Source organism: Homo sapiens, chromosome 1, assembly GCF_000001405.40.
Source record: "Homo sapiens chromosome 1, GRCh38.p14 Primary Assembly".
NCBI classification, from domain to species: Eukaryota; Metazoa; Chordata; class Mammalia; order Primates; family Hominidae; genus Homo; species Homo sapiens.
The window spans coordinates 245710334-245720129 of record NC_000001.11 but is presented as its reverse complement, the minus strand read 5'-3'; the positions used below and the strand labels follow the sequence as shown (position 1 = coordinate 245720129).

Sequence of the window (9796 nt, the reverse complement as noted above, 5' to 3'; positions counted from 1 at the left end):
CTTTATAAGCTACAGCTTATAAGTTCCATTGGCTCTTTCCTCTGCTTTAGAACATACGAAGACATGTTGCTACATGTGTGTTGTAACTAGGGGTGGGGATGCCCGCATTTTGTGAGTGAAGGTAACTTATAGCAGGGCCCCTGTGCAGGCCCTCTCATTCTGCTAGACTAAATTCAGAACCAAGTGTCACCAGGAACAGAAGGAACAACAAAAATAACTACTATAGATTAAGGCTGCAAGGTAGTTGATTTGACTCAAGTTTCCAACAGAGCCCTTGAGATGGACAAAGGTGCTGGTGCCGGCGTCCTCTGCAGCCCGAGCAGTAAGGCTAGAGGTGAACAAGTTGTCACCGCAGGCTTTTCTGAAGGAAAGAGGCAGACAGTTCCCCTTCTCTCCAGCTCTATATCCCTGCCACCTTCTCCCCAGGGCTTCCTGGTCTTGATCTACCTTATCTACAGCACAGTTTCAAGATGGCCGTCCAAATGCCTGGAGTTTTCCAGGGCAGTCCCACATTGCATTCGTTTTGGCTTTCGTCCATTGAAATGTGAAATTCTAGTATTTTGACAACCAATCTACCTTAAAACATTTTGTTATAAAAGGTACATAATGTATGCTTTACCATTCTAACCATTTTAAAATAGAAAGCTCAGTGGCATTAAGTACATTCGCATTGTTCTTCAGCCGTCACCACCATCCATTTTTCAGATGTTTTCATCTTCCCAAACTGAAACTATATACTATTGAACAATGACCCCTGCTCCACCGTGGGAACCACCACTCCACTTTCTGTCTCTGTGAATTTGACTACTCTCCGCATCTTGTATAAGTGGAATCACACGTTATTTGTCTCTCTCTGTCTGGTTGATTTCACTTAGCATCATGTCTTCAGGGTTCATCCATGGGCAAATGTTCAGCATGTGTCAGAATTTCATTCCTTTCTAAGACTCAATGACACTCTATGGTATGTCTGTATCCGCTTTTGTTTATCCATTCATCTGCCAGTAGACATGTAGATCATTATTACTGTCATTTGGCTATTGTGAATAGTGTTGCTATGAACACTGATACACAGGTATCTATTCAAGTCCCTGCCTTCGGTTCTTTGGGTTGTGTACTCAGAGGTGAAGTTGCTGGATCACATGTTAATAGTGATCCTGGGTTTCCTTTTTTTGAGGAGCTGCCATACTGTTTTTCTACGCCAGCTGCACCATTTTACCTTCCCACTAGCCACGTGCAAGGCTTCCAGGTTCTCCACATCCTTGTCAACCGTTGTGATTTTCTGTTTTGTGTTTGTTTGTTTGTTTGTTTGTTTGTTTTGGAAATAGCCATCCTGATAGGTGTGAAATTGTGTCTCATTGTGGTTTTGATTGGCATTTCCCTAATGATTAATCAAACTACCTTTTGTTTTGCCAGACTTGACATCTAACCTACTTTTTGTATCTGGAATTAGGATAAAACTCCTTTGTTAGAAAACATATGGATTTTTGGTTAAAAAGATAAGCACCATCAAAATCCACCTGAGGGATGGCTGAATTACTAGAGTCTGTGTGTTGAGTCTTCAGGGTATGTGGTAGGTGAAGGCTCTGGTCTGAGGCCTAGCAGGCCCAGCTCAAGGCATGTGCACAGGGAACATTGTAACCCCTCCCCATCTCAAGGCACAGTGAAATCCACTGCAAATACAATGGCTAGTGCCTTTTTACTATGGGGGAAAATTTGACATTCATTTCCAAGAGGTGCCATCTTTCATCTCAATGTGTTTCATGGGTCATGTGATCTCCGATTACTAAGGTGACACTTAGGACAATTTTATGGCAAATTGAGTCCCAAATTACAGCCCCTGAAGGGGTACGCATTAATAATGGCCTGTAAGAGCATCAGTAGGGGGCCTGAGCCAGGTTCCAGTGCAATCAGATGCAGTCACTAATGCAGCATTTCAGCAAGACCAAGAGGAATGTATTGTTAAAGACACACGTGCTGATCTTCTCTTTTCAAGAAAGGAGTACTCAAATTATCATAGACACCCACTGGATTGTAGAATAATGAAGACAGAATTATTTTTGCATGAATTGGGATTTCCTTGTGGCTGAGTTAAGCAGCATGACCCACTGTGAGTGAATTGGATGACTTTTCTTTCTAAGCATCAACCACTTTGTTTTATTTCTCCTTTAGGCATTTCTAGGCATTTTACTTTTCCGATGTGAGGAGTCAATGCCTCTAGCACAAGACAATGTGAGAAAGCCTGGCTGGGTCATTAATAAGCAAAACCTGGGAAAAAAAAGAAAAACAGCATCACCCATAGAATACTTTTCGTCCTGAGAGATTTCACAATTGGAATGCATCTGTGTGTGGTAATGTGCTGAGTTTTATAAGATGCTATCAAGGCAGGTTTTCCTACCTTTTGAGAATCTACTCTAGAAACCAGATATTGATGTTGATGTTCGTGTGGCTGCACATGCATGTATGATCATGAATGTGAATAAAAATAAGAGTTAGACAAGAAAATGGTGTTCTCTCAAGTGACAAGCAACATGACCCTAGGATTTAGGTAGCTTCTCCATACATTTAATATTAAATGGTTACTGGATTCTTATTAGCTTTCAGGAACATTGACTGATCACACTGCAAATATGTGTAAAAACCATTCTCTGAGATTTTACTCTGTTGAGTTTGTACTTTCTATATGTGGAGTATGCATTTCTAATCAATATAAAAGAGTAAACATTATTCTATTCTTTGCTATTCTGGTTTTCTTTAAGGGCTTCAGATTCCCTATTATGGGAATTCATTCCCCACTGAAAATACAGTGAATATCTACCCAGTGCAAGACCCTTTGCTAGGTACTAAGGAAACAGACATTGTCTCTGCCCAGTCAGAACTTACCATCTAGCCATGAAGACATATCTGAGCATGTCTTCCATCCTCCTTTTTCCTCCCTATCTTCCCATTACAGCTATGTTCCTCCTCCTCCTTCCTTGACCTCCCCTTCCTCCCTCCTCTTTTCTCTCCTCCCTCCTCTCTCCTTTTTGGCTTTTTTTTTTTTTTTTTTTTTTTTTTTTGAGACTAGGTCTCACTGTGTTGCCCAGGCTGGAGGGCAGTGGCCATTCTGCAGCCAGGAACTCCGGGGCTCAAGCAATCCTCCCATATCAGCCTCCCAAGTTGCTGGGACTACAGTTGTGTGCCACCACAGCTGGCTAATTTTTAAAATTTTGTGTAGAGATGGAGTCTTGCTCTGTTGCTCAGGCTGATCTCAAACTCCTGGCCTCCATCAATCCTCCCACCTTGGCTTCCCAAAGTGCTGGGATTACAAGTGTGAACCACCAGGCCCAGCCAGCATTTCTTCTTCTGCACAGCTTGGCACTTAGTCATTCCCCAGGAAATTTATCACATCAAAATAGTTGCTTCTTTCTTTATCTTTCTCCCCCACTAGACTCCACATCCCTGGAGGAAGGGGCCTGGGTTTCTTCCCTCTCTGTTGCTTCAGCTGCTGACACCATGCTCGGCTCATTGCAGGTCATCATTGGATGAATGTGCCTGAAGAACCGTGCGCCAGACATTGTGTTGGGCTGAGTGGAGAGTGGTCCTGCCCTGGAAGAGCTCTCAGGCCAATAGGGAGAGAAAGATGGTACAATAGACCATGGAAGGGAGAGCAATCATTAGTGAGGCAGAATAAGCTTGAGGGATTGAGGGCGCTCACAGAAGGGGCAGCTTTCAAAGTTGGATCACCCTCCTTTAAGCTGGGTTGCTGTACTCTTGGGCTTTGCCAGCAGTGCCTTGCCAGGTGCAGGCCTTCAGGAAATGTTTGCTGGACTATACACTCCGTTGGGTAAAGGTTTGGACCTTCTCTGTCTCACTTGCTATTGTCTCTCCACTTCCAGCACCACAGCTGACACATTGTGGTAGCCAATAAATATTTGTGCAATGAATACATGAATGAAGCAATGACCAAGTCCTCCTCCCTGTTTTTTCCAAATGCCTTTCTCACTTTCCCTCTCACTTTCTGACTTGCCCTTGTCCAAAGGTATGAGCTAATGCTTACCTCAATGGGGTGGTGCTGAAGATCAAAGGCAACAATACAGTCTCTATAAACTTGAGTTACTATTCTCTGCCTCTTCCCTGGCAAGGGGGATGTTGGGGAAGCTGGGCTGGGCTGACCTGGTTGGAGTTCAGATGCCCTCAGGAATTATTTATGCTCCTGCCAATGCAAAAAAGCCTTCCCATTTTACCATTCTTTAGAAGTTTTGTAGGTTTTAAAAAAGACCTTAGAGATTTCCTTCTTTGCAACTGGAAAAGAATAATTCAGGTGCAGTAATTAGGGTTAACACAGTCAGTGTTGACGTGGAGGGACCTAATGAGGTTCTTTCCTTTTTTCTCATTGGACTCTCCCAAAGGGAGTGCTTACTGCAGAAACAGGAAGCCCACAGTGATGGAGGGTCGGTGGCCTGTGTTAGTCAGGGTCCTCCAGAGAAATAGCCAAAAGGATGTGTGTATGTGCAGAAAGAGGAAGCTGGATTCCGTGCATATCCACGGATTTACACGGGAGTAGGGAGGGTGGCTGAATCATGCTTAAATACTAGACGGGCTGTCACCGACCCAGGCTCTGGAGGCTGCTTCTGGAGGCTGCTGGGAGGGGCCCCCTGTGCCTGAGTGACGTCAAATGCACCTGCAGGGAAAGAGCACCTTCCTTCCCTCAGGACTCCCCTGAGCAGAAATTTCTTAGTCATTTGTCGCGGTTTAGGAGCACAGCTGCCTGGAGACAGGGCAAGGCTGGCTGGCCTCAAGAGGTGGTGCACAAGCCCTGAGGTTTTTCAGCTGCTCCCTTCTCTGAGCTGCTGCTGCCCTCACCGTCTAAACTACTTATTCTGGCTTCGGCAACACACCCATCAAATTCATGTGATGCTAATAAAGCGGGACAAGGAAAGGAGCAGGAGGAGGTCAATGGCAATATTCTCTATGCCTGGCTTCCCAAACACATCCACCGGAGAGAAGGGGCTGGTTGCGAATTGAGGGTGTTGGTAAACCTGGTTTATGTTTTCAGGCTTCCGAAAAGGAAACTGGTGGGGCAGGAACCCCAGGACTTGAGCAAAATTGTGATGAGGGTTAAATCTGTCTCGTCTCAGCGTCTGACCCCTGCTGGTCTCCAGCCTCCTCTCGACCACTTAGAAACCCAGGCCTCAGCTTGCCTACTGCCCACTCAAGGCAGTAGATGGAGTTGTTTGTTTTTTTCTTGTAATTTTGTTTAAGTTCTTTGTAGATTCTTGATATTAGCCCTAATATCAATTTCCCTCAGTCGGAAATGCAGAAATCACCCGCCTTCTGTGTCGATCTCGCTGGGAGCTGCAGACCAGAGCTGTTCCTAATATGCCATCTTGCCAAAGTTTTATACATATTGCAGAACTCTCCCCTGAGACTTATTGGGAATTAATTATTAAACAAACCACATGAAAGTAAGATTTAGGGATAGTGTGATGTATAGCCCAACCTACTTCTAATAGATGGAAGCCACTGATATTTTTAAAAGAATGGGGCCAGGCGTGGTGGCTCACACCTGTAATCCCAGCACTTTAGGAGCTGGGTGGATCACCTGAGGTCAGGAGTTTAAGACCAGTCTGGCCAACATGGCTAAACCCCATCTCTACAAAAAATATAAAAATTAGCTGGGCATGGTGATGGTTGCCTGAAATCCCAGCTACTCAGGAGGCTGAGGCACAAGAATCACTTGAATCCAGGAGGCAGAGGCTGCAGTGAGCCAAGATTGTGCCACTGCACTCCAGCCTGGGCAACAGAGAGAGACTCTGTCTCGGAAAGAAAGAAAATGAATAGGGCTAGATGCAGTGGCTTTCCAGCCTTTCAGGAGGCCAAGGAGGGATGATTGCTTGAGGCCATGAGTTTGAGACCAGCCTGGGCAACATAGCAAGACCCCATCTCTACCAAAAATTTTTTTAAAAAATTAGAGAGGTGTGGTGGTTCGTGCCTGTAGTCCCAGCTACCTGTGAGGCTGAGGCAGGAGGATCGCTGGAGCCCAGGAGTTTGAGACTGCAGTGAGCTATGATTGTGCCACTGCACTCTAGTCTGGGCAACAGAGCAAGACCCTGTCTCCAAAAAACAACATGAGAGAATGAGGCAGGTGCTGAATGAAGAAACTGTGTAGCGGGCACAGTCTAGGAAAGAAGTAAAGGCTGCCTGAGGAATCTTGTTGTAATTATCAAAACAAGTGTATGTTATCCCAGGACCTTACGTCTGTTGAGCACTTACCAGATTATGACCTGGTTCTACACACAGCATCTTCTTTCATCCTCAGAACAAACCCAGGGGAAACTAGGCAGGACAGATTGGGCTTCACTTCTCTTACACAGATGAGGAGATGGAGCCTGGAGACGCACTGAGACTCCCTCAAAGTCAACTGCAAGTTGCAGTTTCACACGAGCACCCAGGCTTCATGGCCCCTCAGCTAAGAGTTCTCAGCAAGGGCTGAGATGGATGTCAGAATCCCCAGAAAAGTGTTTCCAGTGTATGGATATCTATACTGTGTATAAAATGCCATTCCCTTCAATAGCTTTGGCTGTCGAAACCCTCTGAATCTTAACCTGATTTTGTGCCCAGCATTGTGTTAAACACAGGGAGCCATAAAAAGAGCTCCTACCCTCCTGATGCCTATTTTTTTAAATTTATTTTTTATTTTTTATTTTTTGAGATAGAGTCTTGCTCTGTCGCCCAGGCTGGAGTGCAGTGGTGCGATCTCGGCTCACTGCAAGCTCCGCCTCCTGGGTTCACGCCATTCTCCTCCCTCAGCCTCCAAGTAGCTGGGACTACAGGCACCCGCCACCACACCCAGCTAAGTTTTTGTATTTTTAGTAGAGACGGGGTTTCACTGTGTTAGCCAGGATGGTCTCAATCTCCTGACCTTGTGATCTGCCCACCTCGGCCTCCCAAAGTGCCGGGATTACAGGCGTGAGCCTGATGCCTAATATTTAAGGACAGATAAACACGTCCTACTTTAAAATATGATGAAGTGTATACTAAGAACTTGGCACATCTTACAACAGGAACACTGTCCCATGTTGGAGTTTTTTTTTTTTGTTTGTTTGTTTGTTTGTTTGAGACTTAGTCTTGCTCTTTGCCCAGGGTGTAGTGCAGTGGTGCAATCTCGGCTCACTGCAATATCCACCTCCCGGGTTCAAGCAATTTTTGTGCCTCAGCCTCCCAAGTAGCTGGGATTACCGGCACGCGCCATCATGCCTAGCTAATTTTTGTATTTTTTGTAGAGAGGGGGTTTCACCACGTTGGCCAGGCTGGTCTAGAACTCCTGACCTCAAGTGATCCCCCCGCCTCGGCCTCTCAAAGTGCTGGGATTACAGGCGTGAGCTACCGTGCCTGGCCAGAGTTTTTTAATGTATATTTGTAGAATGAATAAATAAGTGAATCAATGAAATAAAAGTTAAGAGAGGAAGAGATGACTCCATCTGGGGCTATCAGGGAAGGCTTCTAATCATCATTGAGGTTGGACGGTTTAAAGCACAGCCACCCTCAATGTGTGTAACATGCCTTGTAATCTTTTATTCCTCTTGTTATAGCTATTTTACTTCCAGGAATTTATCCCTACGGACTTGTCAGGTTAACAAAAAAGATTTATATTCAATATGTGTTGATTTATGTTCAACAGTGTAACTGATAATTGTGAAAAAGTGGAAGCAATCTTATGGTCCAAGAGCAGGGAATAGTAGCCGTGCATAAATGAGAGTCGGTCGATCTATGTGATGGAATATTCTGCAATGTTAAAAGCCATGTTGTCAGAGCACATGTGCCAATTGGGGAAACAAATATACATGGTAGGATTATTAAAGGGGAAAAGGGTTCCAAAAGGACCATATCCAGGATAATCCAAAATTTGTAATAGCGCACGTGCCTCTGTGTGTGTGTGTGTGTGTGTGTGTGTGTGTGTGTGTGTGTGTGTGTATCTATTAAATAACAGTGGTTCTCTCTGGGGTGAGATGAAGGTAATTTTTTATTTTCAATTTCCATATTTTCAAAGTGCAGTTTTAAAAAGCAGCGGCCTTTCTCTCACTGGGCCATCAGGGACTTTGGGGGTTTGTAGATCTTTGTGGTCTATAAAGCTCTTTTTTTTGAGTTTTTCTTCTGAGCACACAAAAGGTGTGTAATATGTATCAGCACCCCAGAACCTGCTGGAGAGGGGAGAGCACAGAGGATGGGCTGAGCGGGGCAATGTAACAATTTTAAAATGAAAAAGAAAGGACGTGCTGCTTACCGTGCATGCAGGTGGACCCCAAAGTAGCTTCCTCAGGTGGCAGCGGGGTGGCTGCCCAGGGGACAGTCCCCTCCTCCTCAGCTGGCTGGATGCTCACAGCGCGCCCTTCCTGAGCTCTTGGCAAATGCACGTGTTAACCCGCTGCGGGGAGGAAGCTGGAAGTGCCGGGGAGTAGGGGAGTGAGGGAGGGCTGGACTTCCGCAGGAGAAATAAAGCGACTTGCAGTGACACTGGCTGTCCCCCTTCCCTCCCCGCCTCGCTGCCCTCTCAGCCTCCTGCTTAAGGAGACTCTTCTGGAGGTGAGGCCTGGACAAGGGCCCAAATTCTAGGAAAAGGGGCCCCTGAGGAGGGTTTGCCCTGCATGGAGGGGAGCACGTTTGCGTGTTTGTAGCAGCGTTTCTGTGTGCCGGCCCGGCTCGCCAACCTCACTGAGTTCTGGGAGCCTGGAACCTGTTTCATTCACTGCAACCAGCACGGTGTCTGGGACAGTGCGAGTGCTGCTCAGTGAGGGTTTGCTCGACGATTGTTTTATACATGTTGAGACGGAATCCACGAGCTTGAACACGACTCTTTTTCATCTCTTAGAAACATGCTTTAGGAGGCCTGAAAGCCAAGGCTGCTCCGTGGCTGTGGAGGTCAAGGCTGTGTGCGTAAGAAGCCCAGGGCGTGGGTCTGGCCTTGTGTGGGCCTGGTGCTCCTTCTCCACTGGGAATTAGGGATTAATCCCAGTAGGGGTTTGCAAATGCAGACCTTTGGTCCACTTGTCACGGGACTCTGAAATGCTGCAGGCCCCTGCCCAGGTTTTTGTTGTTGCCTCTTCCCCCAAAGTTGAATAATTGATTGATTCATTCATTCAGCTAATATTGGTTGAGCACCCACTATGTTCCATGTTCTGTTCTAGCCACTGGAGTTATAGAACAAGAGATATCCATGGGTGTTAGGAGCACTGCAGCCACTGGCAGGTCAATGCATTTACACTCCAAGTGCTCTGTAGATTTATAAGGGTTTTCTAGAAACAACACCTTCAGCTAGAAAAACAAGTGGAAGCATCAGACACTGCAACAGGTCCTGCATAGATGCGGAGGCATTTTCTCCATCCAGGTGCAGCCATAGCCTGATCTGCCATTGCTGGACAATGACATCACCTTGCTTTCTTTTCTATGACCTTCTAGTCCCAGGGGCGTCTGGCCAAATGCAGCATGGTGCCAAGGTAGGCAGAATGGCCACTGTCCTCCCTGAGACAAAGAGACAGGATCAAAAAGGATGGAAAGAATAAAAGTAAGAACAGTTTGGATAGTTTAATGGTTTGAGGGACAGATCCACCTAAGATTGTATATTTGGATAGTTTTTTTCCTAATGAAAAGTTACTTCTGATGACCACACAATACATATCCTTCCCAGAGACGAGAGGTGCTGATGTGAATTGGGACAAGATGTATTATAGGCTACGACAGGCCAGCAGAGCACTGAGAAGGTCTTTAATTGGGAGGAGTGAGGGCATTAGAAACAATTCTATAATAGAGGCTGCCTTTC

At 45.8% G+C, this 9796-nt stretch overlaps 3 annotated features.

Moving 5' to 3' along the window:
* Positions 4666 to 5166: an enhancer, noted in NCBI's record as "H3K4me1 hESC enhancer chr1:245878266-245878766 (GRCh37/hg19 assembly coordinates)". NCBI's record gives its function as "activates a minimal SCP1, AML or CMV promoter by ChIP-STARR-seq in naive H9 embryonic stem cells {active_cell/tissue: H9 hESC(naive)}" and the evidence as "EXISTENCE:reporter gene assay evidence [ECO:0000049][PMID:30033119]".
* Positions 8112 to 8611: an enhancer, noted in NCBI's record as "H3K4me1 hESC enhancer chr1:245874821-245875320 (GRCh37/hg19 assembly coordinates)". NCBI's record gives its function as "activates a minimal SCP1, AML or CMV promoter by ChIP-STARR-seq in primed H9 embryonic stem cells {active_cell/tissue: H9 hESC(primed)}" and the evidence as "EXISTENCE:reporter gene assay evidence [ECO:0000049][PMID:30033119]".
* Positions 8612 to 9113: an enhancer, noted in NCBI's record as "H3K4me1 hESC enhancer chr1:245874319-245874820 (GRCh37/hg19 assembly coordinates)". NCBI's record gives its function as "activates a minimal SCP1, AML or CMV promoter by ChIP-STARR-seq in naive H9 embryonic stem cells {active_cell/tissue: H9 hESC(naive)}" and the evidence as "EXISTENCE:reporter gene assay evidence [ECO:0000049][PMID:30033119]".